This window comes from Homo sapiens, chromosome X, assembly GCF_000001405.40.
Source record: "Homo sapiens chromosome X, GRCh38.p14 Primary Assembly".
NCBI classification, from domain to species: domain Eukaryota; kingdom Metazoa; phylum Chordata; class Mammalia; order Primates; family Hominidae; genus Homo; species Homo sapiens.
In genome coordinates, this window is record NC_000023.11 from 131146665 (window position 1) to 131167296 (window position 20632).

Genomic DNA, 20632 nt, shown 5'->3' on the forward strand with positions numbered 1-20632 from the left:
CTACTTCAGGTTGGGAGCATTCCTGGCCCATGGATAACACTTAAAGGTCACGTGTCTCTGACCAATCCTTACAAGTCATCACTGACCCAATGCCATGCATATCTTGCCACACTATCTTCCCGCCCTGTCTTTTACAACTGTCCTCTATACCCCCTTAGAAGACCACTGGCATCACATCTGTCTTCATAGTGGAGCCCTCCTGGCAGCTTTATTACCCACCTCCTATGTTCCAGGCACTGTCCAAGGTACTGTGATTGACAATTGAGAATGAAACGGTACCTGTCCCTGCTTTCCCAGAGCTCACTCAGTTCAGATTTTGAATGTCTCTCTCTTCACTGCCTCTCTTTCTCTTCAGCTTTAAAAAGTGCCCAGGAGTCTCTCATATTGAGAATGCCAGTTGTCCTCTCAATGACCATCTCATCTCTTACCTTGCACTGCCTGAATCCTTTTCCCACAATTTGTAAAATAATCTTTCTAAAGCACAGATTTGATTAGTACTTATTCTAGCTTAAAAACCTCCTTTGATTCCCCACCATCTACAAGCTCAAACCCAACTTCTTAGTAAGGCACACGAGACCTTTCACAATATGGCAGCAGTTTGGTCTCTTGATCTAATTTCCCGAAAATCCACATTACAAACCCTGTGCTCAGGAATGAGACTAGAGTGAAGCACCTAGGATATGACTCTAAAAGTGAGTATCTCCTTAAATTTGTGTGCCCTAATTTCTTCACTCAACTGCCCTAGTCCTGACCCTGCTTGTATTAAAGCCACACATAATGTGCCCTGTATCCTCAAATACATGATATGCCTTTATATCTCTGTATCTTTGCAATGTTTTTTGCCTTCACCACCCCCTCCTCTCTCATCATTAAAAACAATTCATAATTTTAAACTTTATTTGTTTATTAGTGTCACGCCTAAGTAGAGTATAAGCCCCAAGAGAATAGGAGTCATGTCTATGTTGCTCACTGTTGTATCTCTAGCAATTAGGAAAAGGAAGAAATAAATTAATTCAATTCAAAGCCACTTCCTCTATGGAACCCTCCCTGACTCTTCTCTCCCTCTGAAAATTCAGTTGCTTTTCTTTTTGTGCTTACACAAGGCTCCATGGATATAACACACTTACAGCTTTATGACATTGTGTGATATTTACTAGAAGTATTTATCCCCAACTATAAATATATATTTAAGTAAACATTTCTATTTTAGAACAATTTTAGATTTACAGAATTATTACAAAGATAGTACAGAGAGTTTCTATATATGCCACACTAGTTTCCCTTTCATTAACATCTTACACTAGTATGCATACTTTTCACAGTTAATGAAACAATATTGATAGATTATTATTAACTAAAGTCTGTATTCAAATTTCCTCAGTTTTCCCTTAATGTTCTTTTTTTAATTCATCAATGTTCCATCCAGGATATCACATTACATTCAGTCACTGCACCTCCTGCAGCTCCCTTGGATTTTTCAAACTTTCCTTGTTTTTGATGACCTTAACATATTTTAGGGTTACAGGTCAGACATTTTATAAAATATATTTAAATTTTCAATGATGTTTTTCTCATGATCAGATTGGGGTAACGTGTTTTTGAAAGGAAGACCTCGGAAATAAAGTGCCATTCTCACCACTTTGTATCAAAGGTATACCAACAATATATATTAATCTTCATCACTTGGCTTGAGGTAATCTTTGTCAAGTTTCCTCACCATAAAGTTATTATTTTTTTCTCCCATTCCATGCTTTACTCTTTGGAAGAAGGTCACTCTTAAGTAACAGGGGTTTTTATTTCACCTCCTTAAGCGTGGAATATTTACATAAATTATTTGAAATTCTTCTGTATCTGGGACCTATTCTTCCCCATTTATTTATTCAATAATTTATTTATATTGGCACAAACTCAAGGATATTTGTTTTATATTTGGGGCTATAAGAATATTTTACTTATTTTGTTGCTCAAATATTCCAGCTTTGGTCACTGAGAACTATTTCAGTTGGCTCCTGTATTCCTTTTACATAGCCCCCCCTTTTTTTTTTAGCGCTTTTATTGTTTCTGGTACTCTAAGATACTCCAAGATCATTTTGTATAATTCATGCTCCAGTGATTGCCAGATATTTTCTCTAAAAAGTCCTGGTTTCTTTTATTGGAGAATGGTAGTAGAAACAAAGATCAGGGTGCCAGGTGTGTTCATTGATTGTGTCATTGCTTCTTGGCCGTCTCAGCTGACAGAGCAAGGAGATCTAAGTGTGATACTGAACCCATGTGTATAGACATATGTATAAATATTTCTCTATGTAACCACCTGCATCAGTATTAAGCTAAATGAGAGTTGCTAGTGATGTCTCTTATTCTAGTCCTCACCACATGGATCATTCTAGCCTCCTTCCCTTGCTTATCTGTAAACTTCCACTCCCACAGTGAGAAACCTGGCTCCTACCATTCACTATTTGTTTACTTAATTCTTCAATTCCAGTGTAACTGTATAGCAGTGTGAGAATTGTTAACTCATACTCCCATGGGAACCACCTTTATCACTGGAGCAGAATGCTTCTGAACAGTTCCTTTTGCCTTTAGTCTTACAGAGTTCACGCATTTCCAAAGGTACTCAGATCAGCACCTTATTCCCCCTGCCCACTTCAATTAGGTTGTTTAATACGCTTATAATGCATTTAGATCTTATTGTTATTCTGCATTCCATCCTGGGATTCCCTGGCTGTCTAAATATTTTTAATTTGCATACATTAAGTTTATTCTTTGTGTTCTAAATTTCTATAGGTTTTGACAATGCTTAATATCTTGTATTCACCATTACAATATCATAAAGAATAAATTTACCGACCTAGAAATTCCACTGTACTTTACCCATTCAACCCTCCTTCCCTCAAAACACTGTAACCTCTGACCTTTTCACTCTCTCTAGTTTTGCCTTTACCTGAATGTCACATAAGTGAAATCATGTAATATGTATCCTTTTCAGACTGACTTCTTGCACTTAGCAATAGGTATCTAATACTTATTCATGTCTTTTTGTGACTTTATAGCTCTTTTGAAATTACTTTTAAAAATCACAATTTTATTGTGTGGATGTATCAGTTTGTTTATTCATTCACACATTGAAGGGCATCTTGATTGCTTTCAATTTTTGGTGGTTATGAATAAAGCAACTACGAACATTCATGTGTACATTTTTGTGTGGACATAGCTTTTCAAATCAGTTGGGTAAATACCTAGAAGCATGACTGCTGCACTATATAGTGAGGTTTTGTTTAGCTTTGTAAGAAACTGCCAAACTGTCTTCCAAAGAGGCTGTACCATTTTTCATTCTCACCTGCAGTGAACGAGAGGTTTTGTACTGTTTACTTGCCAGCAGTTGGTATTGTCAATTGTTTGGATTCTAGCCAATCTAATACATGTAAAGTGGTATTTCATTGTTGTTTGAATTTGCAACGCTCTAATGACAAGTGGTGTTAACATCTTATATGCTTATTTGCCATCTGTGTATCTTCTTTGTTAAGTTGTCTATTCACATCTTTTGTATATTTCCCCCTGCTATATTATTTAATGTTTTAATGAAACATCACATACATGCATATGCAGAAGAAATCACAAGTGGCCACTATTTGAACTTCTATATCATAAACATACCCATGTAACAAGCGTCTGAGATCAAGAAAAAGAAGATCACTGACACCCCAGAAACTCCCCTGTGTATCCTCACATTTATTGCCCCTTGGCATCTAACAGAATAAATTTTTCCTATGTTTTAAACTTTATTATGAATGGGTTATGCAGTCTATATTTCTTTCTTTTTACTTCTTTCAATCAACATTATGTTTGAAGATACATCAATATTGTTACATGTAGTTTTAGTTTGTTCATACTCATTGCTATATGGTATTCCTTTATATAAATTTATTGATCAATTCTACACAAATATTTGTGTAGTTTGAAGCTATTATAAAGAGTACTACTATGAATATTCTTGTACATTTCTGTTGGTGCACATATATACATATTTCTATTTGGTGTATATCTAGGAAGGAATTGTTAGATTACAGAGTAGGCAGATATGCAGCTTTAGTAGATACTGCTGAACAATAGTTCAGAATGGTTTTATGAATTTACACTTCCACTAGTGTAAAAGAGTTCTAGTTTCTCCACATCCTTGAAAACACTTAGTATTGTCAGGCTTTTTAATTTTAGGCAATTTGGTGGGTGTTTTCTTATTATGGTTTTAACTTTTATTTTTCTGATAACTAATAAAGCTACTCATCTTTTCATGTGTTTATTGAACAGTTGGATATACTCTGTTGTGAAATGTCTCTTTTGGACCTGAAAGCATGTGTTAGTGAGGCTACAGAAAAGGGACTGTGACAGGAAACACCTAGTGTGATTTTAAAAGCAGGAAATAAAAAGATGCATGTAGTTAGCAAAACATTAAAGAATTTATCTAAATAGCTAGAGAGGTTCATTGCAGCCAGAAGCGGTTCCTTTATTTCTATAAGACATTCCAAAACCTGATAGGATAATTTCTCAAAAAAAACTTTGAGGAAGGAAGATGCAAGGTAGACCAAGCATTGAGCCATGCACCTTGTGTGTTTTCTTCATTCTTACAACAAATCAAGGAGGTAGCAATTTACAGACCCTAGTTTTATTCTCTCTATAATCTGCTGTGCTAAAAAGTGTCTTGCGCACCAATTGTCACAGCAGACTTAAGAAAATAATCTAAACATTAAATAAACCCTACGTAAAAAAAAAAGTCTCTTTCAATCTTTTGCCCATTTTTCTATTTGATGGTTGCATTTTCTTACTGATCTGAACTTCATATGTTCTTGATATAATTCTTTTGTTGAATATAGGTAATGCAAATATTTTCTCCAACCTATGGATTGACTTTTCACTTTCTTAATAGTATCTTCTCACAAATGGAAGTTATTACTTTTAATATAATCTAATTTATCAAAATTGTATCTTATGATTAGCATTTTTTGTGTTCTGTTTTAAAAATACCTTTGGAAATCATAATTCTCAGTAAACTATCGCAAGAACAAAAAACCAAACACTGCATGTTCTCACTCATAGGTGGGAATTGAACAATGAGAACACATGGACACAGGAAGGGGAACATCACACTCTGGGGACTGTTGTGGGGTAGCGGGAGGGGGGAGGGATAGCTTTAGGAGATATACCTAATGCTAGATGACGAGTTAATGGGTGCAGCACACCAGCATGGCACATGTATACATATGTAACTAACCTGCACATTGTGCACATGTACCTTAAAACTTAAAGTATAATAAAATAAAATAAAATAAAATAATAAAAAAATGCAAAAAAAAAATACCTTTGCCAACCACAAGATCATGAAGAATTCTCTAATGATTTCCTCTAAAAACTGTACTGTTTGGCTTTTTATATGATATGAGAAATGGGTCAATATTCATTTCTAATAGATTGAGAGACAATTGGCACAACCACATTTATTGAAAAGACACTTTCTCCACTATATTGCAATGTCACCATTGTCCTAATTAGATGACTTTGTATGTATCAGTCTATTTCTAGACTCTATTCTCTTTCTTTTTTTTTTTGGTTTCGGTTTTTTTTTTTTATTAACTTTAAGTTTTAGGGTACATGTGCACATTGTGCAGGTTAGTTACATATGTATACATGTGCCATGCTGGTGCGCTGCACCCACTAACTCGTCATCTAGCATTAGGTATATCTCCCGATGCTATCCCTCCTCACTCCCCCCACCCCACAACAGTCCCCAGAGTGTGATATTCCCCTTCCTGTGTCCATGTGATCTCATTGTTCAATTCCCACCTATGAGTGAGAATATGCGGTGTTTGGTTTTTTGTTCTTGCAATAGTTTACTGAGAATGATGATTTCCAATTTCATCCATGTCCCTACAAAGGACACGAATTCATCATTTTTTATGGCTGCATAGTATTCCATGGTGTATATGTGCCACATTTTCTTAATCCAGTCTATCATTGTTGGACATTTGGGTTGGTTCCAAGTCTTTGCTATTGTGAATAATGCCGCAATAAACATACGTGTGCATGTGTCTTTATAGCAGCATGATTTATAGTCCTCTGGGTATATACCCAGTAATGGGATGGCTGGGTCAAATGGTATTGCTAGTTCTAGATCCCTGAGGAATCGCCACACTGACTTCCACAATGGTTGAACTAGTTTACAGTCCCACCAACAGTGTAAAAGTGTTCCTATTTCTCCACATCCTCTCCAGCACCTGTTGTTTCCTGACTTTTTAATGATTGCCATTCTAACTGGTGTGAGATGGTATCTCATTGTGGTTTTGATTTGCATTTCTCTGATGGCCAGTGATGATGAGCATTCTTTCATGTGTTTTTTGGCTGCATAAATGTCTTCTTTTGAGAAGTGTCTGTTCATGTCCTTCACCCACTTTTTGATGGGGTTGTTTGTTTTTTTCTTGTAAATTTGTTTGAGTTCATTGTAGATTCTGGATATTAGCCCTTTGTCAGATGAGTAGGTTGCAAAAATTTTCTCCCATTTTGTAGGTTGCCTGTTCACTCTGATGGTAGTTTCTTTTGCTGTGCAGAAACTCTTTAGTTTAATTAGATCCCATTTGTCAATTTTGTCTTTTGTTGCCATTGCTTTTGGTGTTTTGGACATGAAGTCCTTGCCCATGCCTATGTCCTGAATGGTAATGCCTAGGTTTTCTTCTAGGGCTTTTATGGTTTTACGTCTAACGTTTAAGTGTTTAATCCATCTTGAATTGATTTTTGTATAAGGTGTAAGGAAGGGATCCAGTTTCAGCTTTCTACATATGGCTAGCCAGTTTTCCCAGCACCATTTATTAAATAGGGAATCCTTTCCCCATTGCTTGTTTTTCTCAGGTTTGTCAAAGATCAGATAGTTGTAGACATGTGGCATTATTTCTGAGGGCTCTGTTCTGTTCCATTGATCTATATCTCTGTTTTGGTACAAGTACCATGCTGTTTTGGTTACTGTAGGCTTGTAGTATAGTTTGAAGTCAGGTAGTGTGATGCCTCCAGCTTTGTTCTTTTGGCTTAGGATTGCCTTGGCAATGCGGGCTCTTTTTTGGTTCCATATGAACTTTAAAGTAGTTTTTTCCAATTCTTTGAAGTCATTGGTAGCTTGATGGGGATGGCATTGAATCTGTAAATTACCTTGGGCAGTATGGCCATTTTCACGATATTGATTCTTCCTACCCATGAGCATGGAATGTTCTTCCATTTGTTTGTATCTTCTTTCATTTCCTTGAGCAATGGTTTGTAGTTCTCCTTGAAGAGGTCCTTCACATCCCTTGTAAGTTGGATTCCTAGGTATTTTATTCTCTTTGAAGCAATTGTGAATGGGAGTTCACTCATGATTTGGCTCTCTGTTTGTCTGTTGTTGGTGTATAAGAATGCTTGTGATTTTTGTACTTGATTTTGTATCCTGAGACTTTGCTGAAGTTGCTTATCAGCTTAAGGACATTTTGGGCTGAGACAATGGGGTTTTCTAGATATACAATCATGTCGTCTGCAAAGAGGGACAATTTGACTTCCTCTTTTCCTAATTGAATACCCTTTATTTCCTTCTCCTGCCTAATTGCCCTGGCCAGAACTTCCAACACTATGTTGAATAGGAGTGGTGAGAGAGGGCATCCCTGTCTTGTGCCAGTTTGCAAAGGGAATGCTTCCAGTTTTTGCCCATTCAGTATGATATTGGCTGTGGGTTTGTCACAGATAGCTCTTATTATTTTTAAATACGTCCCATCAATACCTAATTTATTGAGAGTTTTTAGCATGAAGGGTTGTTGAATTTTGTCAAAGGTTTTTTCTGCATCTATTGAGATAATCATGTGGTTTTTGTCTTTGGCTCTGTTTATATGCTGGATTACATTTATTGATTTGTGTATATTGAACCAGCCTTGCATCCCAGGGATGAAGCCCACTTGATCATGGTGGATAAGCTTTTTGATGTGCTGCTGGATTCGTTTTGCCAGTATTTTATTGAGGATTTTTCATCAATGTTCATCAAGGATAATGGTCGAAAATTCTCTTTATTTGTTGTGTCTCTTCCTGGCTTTGGTATCAGAATGATGCTGGCCTCATAAAATGAGTTAGGGAGGATTCCCTCTTTTTCTATTGGTTGGAATAGTTTCAGAAGGAGTGGTACCAGTTCCTCCTTGTACCTCTGGTAGAATTCAGCTGTGAATCCACCTGGTCCTGGACTCTTTTTGGTTGGTAAGCTATTGATTATTGCCACAATTTCAGATCCTGTTATTGGCCTATTCAGAGATTCAACTTCTTCCTGGTTTAGTCTTGGGAGAGTGTATGTGTCAAGGAATTTATCCATTTCTTCTAGATTTTCTAGTTTATTTGCATAGAGGTGTTTGTAGTATTCTCTGATGGTAGTTTGTATTTCTGTGGGATCGCTGGTGATATCCCCTTTATCATTTTTTATTGTGTCTATTTGATTCTTCTCTCTTTTTTTCTTTATTAGTCTCACTAGCGGTCTATCAATTTTGTTGATCCTTTCAAAAAACCAGCTCCTGGATTCATTAATTTTTTGAAGGGTTTTCTGTGTCTCTATTTCCTTCAGTTCTGCTCTGATTTTAGTTATTTCTTGCGTTCTGCTAGCTTTTGAATGTGTTTGCTCTTGCTTTTCTAGTTCTTTTAATTGTGATGTTAGGGTGTCAATTTTGGATCTTTCCTGCTTTCTCTTGTGGGCATTTAGTGCTATAAATTTCCCTCTACACACTGCTTTGAATGCGTCCCAGAGATTCTGGTATGTTGTGTCTTTGTTCTCATTGGTTTCAAAGAACATCTTTATTTCTGCCTTCATTTCGTTATGTACCCAGTAGTCATTCAGGAGCAGGTTGTTCAGTTTCCATGTATTTGAGCGGTTTTGAGTGAGATTCTTAATCCTGAGTTCTAGTTTGATTGCACTGTGGTCTGAGAGATAGTTTGTTATAATTTCTGTTCTTTTACATTTGCTGAGGAGAGCTTTACTTCCCAGTATGTGGTCAATTTTGGAATAGGTGTGGTGTGGTGCTGAAAAAAATGTATATTCTGTTGAATTGGGGTGGAGAGTTCTGTAGATGTCTATTAGGTCTGCTTGGTGCAGAGCTGAGTTCAATTCCTGGGTATCCTTGTTGACTTTCTGTCTCGTTGATCTGTCTAATGTTGACAGTGGGGTGTTAAAGTCTCCCATTATTAATGTGTGGGAGTCTAAGTCTCTTTGTAGGTCACTCAGGACTTGCTTTATGAATCTGGGTGCTCCTGTATTGGGTGCATATATATTTAGGATAGTTAGCTATTCTTGTTGAATTGATCCCTTTACCATTATGTAATGGCCTTCTTTGTCTCTTTTGATCTTTGTTGGTTGAAAGTCTGTTTTATCAGAGACTAGGATTGCAACCCCTGCCTTTTTTTGTTTTCCATTGGCTTGGTAGATCTTCCTCCATCCTTTTATTTTGAGCCTATGTGTGTCTCTGCACGTGAGATGGGTTTCCTGAATACAGCACATTGATGGGTCTTGACTCTATCCAATTTGCCAGTCTGTGTCTTTTAATTGGAATATTTAGTCCATTTACATTTAAAGTTAATATTGTTATGTGTGAATTTGATCCTGTCATGATGATGTTAGTTGGTTATTTTGCTCGTTAGTTGATGTAGTTTCTTCCTAGTCTCGATGGTCTTTACATTTTGGCATGATTTTGCCGCAGCTGGTACCGGTTGTTCCTTTCCATGTTTAGTGCTTCCTTCAGGAGCTCTTTTAGGGCAGGCCTGGTGGTGACAAAATCTCTCAGCATTTGCTTGTCTGTAAAGTATTTTATTTCTCCTTCACTTATGAAGCTTAGTTTGGCTGGATAGGAAATTCTGGGTTGAAAATTCTTTTCTTTAAGAATGTTGAATATTGGCCCCCACTCTCTTCTGGCTTGTAGGGTTTCTGCCAAGAGATCTGCTGTTAGTCTGATGGGCTTCCCTTTGAGGGTAACCCGACCTTTCTCTCTGGCTGCCCTTAACATTTTTTCCTTCATTTCAACTTTGGTGAATCTGACAATTATGTGTCTTGGAGTTGCTCTTCTCGAGGAGTATCTTTGTGGCGTTCTCTGTATTTCCTGAATCTGAACATTGGCCTGCCTTGCTAGATTGGGGAAGTTCTCCTGGATAATATCCTGCAGAGTGTTTTCCAACTTGGTTCCATTCTCCCCGTCACTTTCAGGTACACCAGTCAGATGTAGATTTGGTCTTTTCACATAGTCCCATATTTCTTGGAGGCTTTGCTCATTTCTTTTTATTCTTTTTTTCTCTAAACTTCCCTTCTCGCTTCATTTCGTTCATTTCATCTTCCATCGCTGATACCCTTTCTTCCAGTTGATCGCATCGGCTCCTGAGGCTTCTGCATTCTTCACGTAGCTCTCGAGCCTTGGTTTTCAGCTCCATCAGCTCCTTTAAGCACTTCTCTCTATTGATTATTCTAGTTATACATTCTTCTAAATTTTTTTCAAAGTTTTCAACTTCTTTGCCTTTGGTTTAAATGTCCTCCTGTAGCTCAGAGTAATTTGATCGTCTGAAGCCTTTTTCTCTCAGCTCGTCAAAGTCATTCTCTGTCCAGCTTTGTTCCGTTGCTGGTGAGGAACTGCGTTCCTTTGGAGGAGGAGAGGCGCTCTACTTTTTAGAGTTTCCAGTTTTTCTGTTCTGTTTTTTCCCCATCTTTGTGGTTTTATCTACTTTTGGTCTTTGATGATGGTGATGTACAGATGGGTTTTTGGTGTGGATGTCCTTTCTGTTTGTTAGTTTTCCTTCTAACAGAGAGGACCCTCAGCTGCAGGTCTGTTGGAATACCCTGCCGTGTGAGGTGTCAGTGTGCCCCTGGTGGGGGGTGCCTCCCAGTTAGGCTGCTCGGGGGTCAGGGGTCAGGGACCCAGTTCAGGAGGCAGTCTGCCCGTTCTCAGATCTCCAGCTGCGTGCTAGGAGAACCACTGCTCTCTTCAAAGCTGTCAGACAGGGACATTTAAGTCTGCAGAGGTTACTGCTGTCTTTTTGTTTGTCTGTGCCCTGCCCCCAGAGGTGGAGCCTACAGAGGCAGGCAGGCCTCCTTGAGCTGTGGTGGGCTCCACCCAGTTCGAGCTTCCCAGCTGCTTTGCTTACCTAATCAAGCCTGGGCAATGTCGGGCGCCCCTCCCCCAGCCTCGCTGCTGCCTTGCAGTTTGATCTCAGACTGCTGTGCTAGCAATCAGTGAGACTCCGTGGGCGTAGGACCCTCCGAGCCAGGTGCGGGACAGACTCTCGTGGTGCGCAGTTTTTTAAGCCCGTCGGAAAAGCGCAGTATTCAGGTGGGAGTGACCCGATTTTCCAGGTGCGTCCGTCACCCCTTTCTTTGACTCGGAAAGGGAACTCCCTGACCCCTTGCACTTCCCAAGTGAGGCAATGCCTCGCCCTGCTTCGGCTCGCGCATGGTGCACGCACCCACTGACCTGCGCCCACTGTCTGGCACTCCCTAGTGAGATGAACCTGGTACCTCAGATGGAAATGCAGAAATCACCTGTCTTCTGCCTCGCTCACGCTGGGAGCTGTAGACCGGAGCTGTTCCTATTCTGCCATCTTGACTCCTCCCCCCTGTATTCTCTTTCTTGGTGTATTTATCAATCCTGGCACACTATATTAATTATTATACCTTTATAATAGGCCTTAACATATGGTAGTGTAACTGCTTTAGCTGCTCCAAATAGGTTTTGTGCTCCCAAATGTAGGTCTATATTTTGTTTTTCTTTCTTTTCTCAGGCCCCAACTCCGTGTCTGACACAAAGTCAGGTCTGAGTAAATAATCTAGCCTTCTATTTACCACCACACTTTTGGAGTGATTTATATCTACTTCTTTTACTTCCTTACTACCCACCTCTGCCTTAGACAGTGTCATTCAACCTCTACATTTCCATGCCAATAGAATGCTGTTTTCCAAGATCACCATTTGTGGTGAACAATGTTAGTGCTTCAACTAGATCTACTCAGATCTTTCTTTGTGTCTTCTGTGATTTGGGTGAGCATTTGTTCCAGCAATAAGCACTTGCGTTTCTTTTGCAGGTGACTGTTCTTGGATCTCAGAACCCCTTTATCCACCTGCATGGAGAGCCAGAAGTGCCAGGACATTTAGGTCCCTCTTGGATCTTAAACAATGAATAATGAATGAGGGAATATGAAAGTCCCAGATCTCTTGCCTCACACCAGAACAACTCTGGGACACAATATACTCCAAAGTTCCCCTGTGGAATCAGACTGTAGCTACATTTGGGGGACTTTGTCTATTATCATGCCCTTGCTTGACTTCTGCTCCATCCTTGTCTTGCTTCCCCAATCTCCTGTCAGTTCTCTTTGGGGGCACTACCTAGTATATGATTTGCATGTGTCTGAGGGCCTGCTTCTGAGGAAACTTTCCTAGGATAGTTGACCAAAAATGATCCTAGAAGCGGACTCTAACGATGTAATTCTGGAATTGTATCAGTTGTCAGCTACAGTGCAACAGTGATTTCTTGCTGCATTATAATTGCTAAACTTTCATCTGTTGTTAGTTGGAATGGATTCAAATGTAGAAGAAGATGCTGTGCCCTATGTGATATCTGTAGCATTTTGAGACATAGCAGGGAAATGGACTGTGGAATTTGTTGTTTCTGGGCAACACTGATGTGTTGAAGGGAGGAAATGACAGCCTCAAGTCAGCCAATTACCAACTTAATCCACTGTGTACAACTTAGAAGACCTCCATAGCAGCGTATAAAGAGACCCTCCTCCTGCATTGAGAATGGAAACCATACTGAAGACCTGATTTTTTAATTATTATTATACTTTAAGTTCTGGGATACATGTGTAGAATGTGCAGGTCTTATGTTTAAGTCTATAATCCATGTTAAGTTAATTTTTGTATAAGGTATAAGGAAGAGGTTCAGTTTCAGTTTTCTGCATATAGCTAGCCAGTTTTCCCAACACCATTTATTAAATAGGGAATCCTTTCCCCATTGCTTGTTTTTGTCACGTTTGTCAAAGATCAGATGGTTGTAGATGTGTGGCATTATTTCTGAGGCCTCTGTTCTGTTCCATTCATCTATATATCTGTTTTGGTACCAGTACCCTGCTTTTTTGGTTACTTGTAGCCTATAGAAATCAGGTAGCATGATGCCTCCAGCTTTGTTCTTTTTGCTTAGGATTGTCTTGGCTATACGGGTTCTTTTTTGGTTCCATATGAAATTTAAAGTAGTTTTTTCTAATTCTGTGAAGAAAGTCAATGATAGCTTAATGGGGATAGAATTGAATCTATAAATTACTTTGGGCAGTATGGCCATTTTCACAATATTGATTGTTCCTATCCATGAGCATGGAATGTTTTTCCATTTATTTGCGTCCTCTTTTATTTCCTTGAGCAGTGGTTTGTAGTTCTCCTTGAAGAGGTCTTTCATATCCCTTGTGAGTTGTATTCCTAGGTATTTTATTCTCTTTGTAGCAATTGTGAATGGGAGTTCACTCATGATTTGGCTTTCTGTTTGTCTACTATTGGTGTATAGCAGTGCCTGTGATTTTTGCACATTGATTTTGTATCCTGAGACTTTGCTGAAGTTGCTTATCAGCTTAAGGAGATTTTGGGATGAGATGATGGGGTTTTCTAAATATATAATCATGTCATCTGCAAACAGAGACAATTTGACTTCCTCTCTTCCTATTTGAGTACCCTTTATTTCTTTTGCTTGCCTGATTGCCCTGGCCAGAACTTCCAATACTATGTTGAATAGGAGTGGTGAGAGAGGGCATCCTTGTCTTGTGCCAGTTTTCAAAGGGAATGCTTCCAGCTTTTGCCCATTCAATATGATATTGGTTGTGGGTTTGTCATAAATAGCTCTTATTATTTTGAGATACGTTCCATCAATAACTAGCTTATTGAGAGTTTTAGCATGAAGAGGTGTTGAATGTTATCGAAGGCCTTTTCTGCATCTATTGAGATAATCATGTGGTTTTTGTCATTGGTTCTGTTTATGTGATGGATTATGTTTATTGATTTGTGTATGTTGAACCAGCCTTGCATCCCAGGGATGCAGCCAACTTCATCGTGGTGGATAAGCTTTTTGATGTGCACTGGATTCAGTTTGCTAGTATTTTATTGAGGATTTTCACATCTGTGTTTATCAGGGATACTGGCCTGAAATTTTCTTTTTTTGTTGTGTCTATGCCAGGTTTTGATATCAGCATGATGCTGGCCTCATAAAATGAGTTAGGGAGGAGTCCCTCTTTTTCTATTGTTTGGATTAGTTTCATAAGGAATTTGTCTTTGTACCTCTGGTAGAATTCGGCTGTGAATCCATCTGGTCCTGGGCTTTTTTTGGTTGGTAGGCTATTAATTACTGCTTCAATTTCAGAACTTGTTATTGGTCTATTCAGGGATTTGATTCGACTTCTTTCTGGCTTAGTCTTGGGAGGGTGTATGTGTCCAGGAATTTATCCATTTCTTCTAGATTTTCCAGTTTATTTGAGTAGAGGTGTTTATACTATTCTCCGATGGTAGTTTGTATTTCTGTGGGATCAGTGGTGATATCCCCTTTATCATTTTTTATTGTGTCTGTGTGATTCTTCTCTCTTTTCTTCTTTATTAGTCTTGCTAGCAGTCTATCTATTTTGTTGATCTTTTCAAAAAACCAGCTCCTGGATTCATTGAGTTTTGAAAGGTTTTTTGTGTCTCTATCTCCTTCAGTTCTGCTCCAATTTTAGTTATTTCTTGTCTTCTGCTAGCTTTTGAATGTGTTTGCTCCTGCTTCTCTAGTTCTTTTAATTGTGATGTTAGGGTGTCAATTTTAGATTTTTCCTCTTTCTCTTGTGGGCATTCAGTGCTATCAATTTCCCTCTAAACACTGCTTTAGCTGTGTCCCAGAGATTCTGGTACATTGTGTCTTTGTTCTCATTGGTTTCAAATAACTCATTTATTCCTGCCTTAATTTTGTTATTTACCCAGTAGTCATTCAGGAGCAGGTTGTTCAGTTTCCATGTAGTTGTGTGGTTTTGAGTGAGTTTTCTTAATCCTGAGTTCTAATTTGATTGCACTGTGGTCTGAGAGACTGTTTGTTATGATTTCTGTTCTTTTGCATTTGCTAAGGAGTGTTTTCCTTCCAATTATGTGGTCAGTTTTAGAATAAGTGTGATGTGGTGCTGAAAAGAATGTATATGCTGTTGATTTGGGGTGGAGAGTTCTGTAGATGTCTATTAAGTCCACTTGGTCCAAAGCTGAGTTCAAGTCCTGAATATCCTTGTTAATGTTCTGTCTTGTTGATCTGTCTAATATTGACAGTGGGGTGTTAAAGTCTCCCACTATTATTGTTTGGGAGTCTGAATCTCTTTGTAGGTCTCTAAGAACTTGCTTTATGAATCTGGATGTTCTTGTATTGGGTGCATATATATTTAGGATAGTTAGCTTTTCTTGTTGCGTTGATCCCTTTACCATTATGTAATGCCCTTCTTTGCCTTTTTTGATCTTTGTTGCTTTAAAGCCTGTTTTGTCAGAGACTAGGATTGCAACCCCTGCTTTTTTTTGCTTTCCATTTGCATGGTAAATGTTGCTCAATTTCTTAATTTTGAGCCTATGTATGTCTTTGCATGTGAGATGGGTCTCCTGAATACAGCACGCTGATGCGTCCTGACTCTTTATCCAATTTGCCAGTTTGTGTCTTTTAATTGTGACATTTAGCCCATTTACATTTAAGGTTAATATTGTTACTGTTATGTGTGAATTTGATCCTGTCATTATGATGCTAGCTGGTTATTTTGCCTGTTAGTTGATGCAGTTTCTTCATAGTATTGATGGTCTTTACAATTTGGTATGTTTTTGCAGTGACCGGTACTGGTTTTTCCTTTCCATAATTAGTGCTTCCTTCAGGAGCTCTTGTAAGGCAGGGCTACTGGTGACAAAATCTCTCAGCATTTGCTTGTCTGTAAAGGATTTTATTTCCCCTTATGAAGCTTAATTTGGCTGGATATGAAATTCTGTGTTGAAAATTCTTTTCTTTAACAATGTTGAATGTCGGCCTCCACTCTCTTCTGGCTTGTATGGTTTCTGCCGAGAGATCTGCTGTTAGTCTGATGGGCTTCCCTTTGTGGGTAACGAGACCTTTCTTTCTGGCTGCCTTTAACATTTTTTCCTTCATTTCAACCTTGGTGAATCTGACGATTATGTGTCTTGGGGTTGCTCTTCTCGAGGGGTATATTTGTGGTGTTCTCTGTATTTCCTGAATTTGAATGTTGGCCTGTCTTGCTAGGTTGGGAAGTTTTCCTGGATAACATCCTGAAGAGTGTTTTCCAACTTGGTTCCATTCACCCTGTCACTTTCAGGTACACCAATCAAATGTAGGTTTGGTCTTTTCACATAGTCCCATATTTCTTGTAGGCTTTGTTCATTCATTTTTATTCTTTTTTCTCTAATCTTGTCTTCACACTTTGTTTCATTAAGTTGATCTTTAATCTGTGATATCCTTTCCTCCACTTGATCAATTCGGCTGTTGATACTTGTGTATGTTTCATGAAGTTCTCATGCTGTGATTTCAGCTCCATCAGGTCATTTATGTTCTTCTCTAAACTGTTTATTCTAGTTAGCAATTCCTCTAACCTTTTTTCAAGATTTTTAGCTTCCTTGCATTGGATTAGTACATGCTCCTTTAGCTCAGAGGAGTTTGTTATTACCCACCTTCTGAACCCTACTTCTTTTAATTCGTCAAACTCATTCTCTGTCTAGTTTTGTTTCCTTGCTGGCGAGGAGTTGTGATCCTTTGGAGAAGAGGCATTCTGATTTTTGAAAATTTCAGCCTTTTTGTGCTTGTTTTTTCTCATCTTCGTGGATTTCTCTTCCTTTGGTCTTTGATGTTGGTGACCTTCAGATGGGATTTCTGTTTGGGCATCCTTTTTGTTGATGTTGATGCTATTCCTTTCTGTTTGTTAGTTTTCCTTCTAACAGTCAGGCCCCTCTGCTGCAGGTCTGCTGGAGTTTGCTGGAGGTCCACTCCAGACACTGTTTGCCTGAGTATTACCAGCAGAGGCTGCAGAACTGCAAAAATTGCTGTCTCTTCCTTCCTCTGGAAGCTTTGTCCCACAGGGGCACCCGCCAGATGCCAGCCTGAGCTCTCCTGTATGAGGTGTCTGTCAACCCCTGCTGGGAAGTGTCTCCCAGTCAGGATGCACGGGGGTCAGGGACTCACTTGAGGAGGCAGTCTGTCCCTTAGCAGAGCTCAAACGCTGTGCTGGGTGTTCCGCTGCTCTCTTCAGAGCCAGCAGGCAGGAACATTTAAGTCTGCTGAAGCTGTGCCCACAGCTGCCCCTTCCCCCAGGTGCTCTGTCCCAGGGAGATGGGAGTTTTGTCTATAAGCCCCTGACTGGGGCTGCTGTCTTTCTTTCAGAGATACCCTGCCCAGAGAGGAGAAATCTAGAGAGGCAGTCTGACTACAGTGGCGTTGCCCAGCTGCGGTGGGCTCCGCCCAGTTTGAACTTCTTGGTGGCTTTGTTTACACTGTGAGGGGAAAATCGCCTACTCAAGTCTCAGTAATGGTGGATGTCCTTCCCCCCACCAAGCTCGAGTGTCTCTGGTCAACTTCAGACTGCTGTACTGGCAGCAAGAATTTTGAGCCAGTGGATCTTAGCTTGCTGGGCTCCTTGGGGGTAGGATCTGTTGAGCTAGACCATTTGGCTCCCTGGCTTCAGCCCCCTTTGCAGGGGAGTGAACAGTTATCTCGCTGGCGTTACAGGTGCCACTGGGGTATAAAAAACAGCAAACAAACAAAAAAACTCCTGCAGCTAGCTTGGTGTCTGCCCAAACAGCTGCCCAGTTTTATGCTTGAAATCCTGGGCCATGGTGGCGTAGGCACCTGAGGGAATCTCCTGATCTGCAGGTTGTGAAGACCATGGGAAAAGCATAGCATCTGGGCTGGAATGCACCATTCCTCAGGGCACAGTCCCTTATGGTTTTCCTTGGCTAGGGGAAGGAGTTCCCCGACCCCTTGTGCTTCCTGAGTGAGGTGACGCACCACCCTGCTTTGGCTAGCTCTCCATGGGCTGCACCCACTGTCTAACCAGTCCCAATGAGAAGAGCCAGGTACCTCAGTTGGAAATGCAGAAATCACCCGCCTTTTGCGTTGATCTCGCTGTGAACTGCAGACCGGAGCCGTTCCTATTCGGCCATCTTGCCAGCCACCCTGAAGACCTGATTTTTAAAAGTAGAAGAGTGTCAGAGAAGGTGAAATTCATAGCCTCCATAAGACTAAGACCCGTACACAAAAATTATGGCTCTGACAGGGAATGACTCACAATCTGAGGCTTGGGTTGGGGTCACCTAAGTTTACCCACTGACGAAATATGGAACCTTTTTATTCTCCAAAACATTGTGGTCCTGCAATAAATAGTCCATTCCTTATTGCTAGTAGATAACAGCACTCTCCTGTCTGAAGGCTAAGTAGAGATTTTAACTGAAGTAGATGCCTTGCAAGCCAATACTTGCCCTTCTCAAGATCTACCCCAACATTTCTTTCTGGCCATTGGACCAATAACTAGGTCAAGTTAGCGTGACCAATCTGGGGAAGGTCTGGCTTTACTAATGGAGGAAATGTGTTATTAATCAAAGGAGCTACAGAATCTAATAATATGTGTTATCAGGAACTGGGGTAACATGCCTGCATATGTATCTTGAAGCTAACTTGATTAAAGAAAAGTGAAATATAAAGCTGGATAAGAGAAAACACTTTTAAAATTTGTTTTCTATATGTGAGCATTCTACTGTGACTCAATATTTAACATATCTTGTAAGGGTACCTGGAGCCAAGCCTATTAGTTAAAATGACTGAGATGACTCCTGGAAATTTGGGGGAAAATGTGAATCGCATTAAATGAAATGAGATGCTTGAACTGCTTTGTCAGAGTGTTAAAAAATGGGGATAAAAATGCTCTCAGAAGTGGGCATGTTAGAATGGATCTATTTCATAAAACCTGAGGTCCCACCAGAGGACTATTTTTGGGAAGGCTCAGAGTACACTCCCTTGACTAAGGTGAAAAGAAGTGCAATAATAAGGGGCAGTTCCAAAATATTTTAGAAGCTCAGAAGTAAATGATCTCTGCTCTGCTAGGCTGGAGCTGACTGTAGGAGATTAGGTTATAGAATTGAGCTTTCTAGTTTCTGTGGAAATGATAAGATTCCAGAAGAACAGAGGTCAGATGGCAGCACACAATCGCCAGAAGCCAGGTGAACACAATTATTGTAATGGTCAAGTGGCAACCAAAGTGTCCTGTCATGCAGGAATGTATGGTGATGACTAATAGATCATGGTGTTCCTAGAAGCAAGATACACAGTTGGCCAATGAGAGTGTTGTTTGCTTGACATATATAATTTATAATCATAAGTGGATGAATAGAAGTTAATCTACACTACCCCAATGAAGGGTCAAAATATTTTGCCTTGTTTTCATGCCTGAGCCAGTTGTTAGCCTCAGAAGTCATCAATCGAAAGAGAAATTGAGTACGCTTGAAGAAAGATCTTGCAATGCAAAAGCAAGCATATACAGTAGTGATTCTATCAGTTCTTCCCCAAAAGGGACTTATTAACATTTATAAATATAAGCGAACACTAAGAAAAAGGGGATTGCCCATATCTTTTAAGGGCTGTTGGATACAGAGTTTAAGCAGATGCTGATATTAAGGAACCTAAAGCACAATAACACCCACCCCCAACACTAAAATAGGTCCTTGTGGAATTCAGTTCTTGCCTTGGTCCATCTTACAGTGGGTCCAATGGGTCCAAAGACTCAGTGGGAATTTCTGATTGCTTAAGCAGAAGGACATACTTAGCATGTGGAAGAAACCTGACTTTTGGTTCCAGGACCCATGAATTAAGAGCTATTATGGTAGAAAATCACACATGAACATTATGAAAGTGGTACCTTCCCCAGAACAAGGTGGTAAATAAAAAACGATACCACATTTTAAGTGGAATGGTAGAGATTAGTGACAATCCCAAAGACTTAAGGGAGCAGGGCTGATAATCCACATTATGTCTTCATTCACTGTGAAAAAAATAGATGTACCATGGTAGATTATGATGAACTAACACAAACTTAAACAAGTAATAGTCCTGACTAAAGCTTGTATGCCAGATATGGTTTTTTTACTATAATGGATTATTATCAATGCAGCATCTGGTATTTGGTAGGTGGATTTGATGGGGCTAAAAGATTTGTTTAAATCTTCATCTGGAAAGAGGAGGAGAAGTTGTTCATATTCACCCAAATAGGCAGTAGTATACCTTTATGCTTTTGATTCAGGTCTATTTTAACTCTCCTGCCATTTGTTATAATACAGTACAAAGAGAATACGATCGTCTGAAAATTCTATAGGATATCATGATGGTCCACTATATTGATAACATCAATTTAATTGGCTCTGATAAAGAGAAAGTGGCAAGTACTCTGGATTCGCGAGCTCCAGAGGGTAGAAAATAAACCTTATAAGGATGCAGAGATTTGTCACATTGGTGAAATTTTGCAGGATTCACTTACGTTTCTTTGAATGGCAAAAAATGACAATTACTTTTGCACCAACATAATATTTAGGTCA

The 20632-nt window shown here is 39.4% G+C and overlaps 1 annotated feature.

Moving 5' to 3' along the window:
* Window positions 11309-12038: an enhancer, noted in NCBI's record as "H3K27ac-H3K4me1 hESC enhancer chrX:130291947-130292676 (GRCh37/hg19 assembly coordinates)". NCBI's record gives its function as "activates a minimal SCP1, AML or CMV promoter by ChIP-STARR-seq in naive H9 embryonic stem cells {active_cell/tissue: H9 hESC(naive)}" and the evidence as "EXISTENCE:reporter gene assay evidence [ECO:0000049][PMID:30033119]".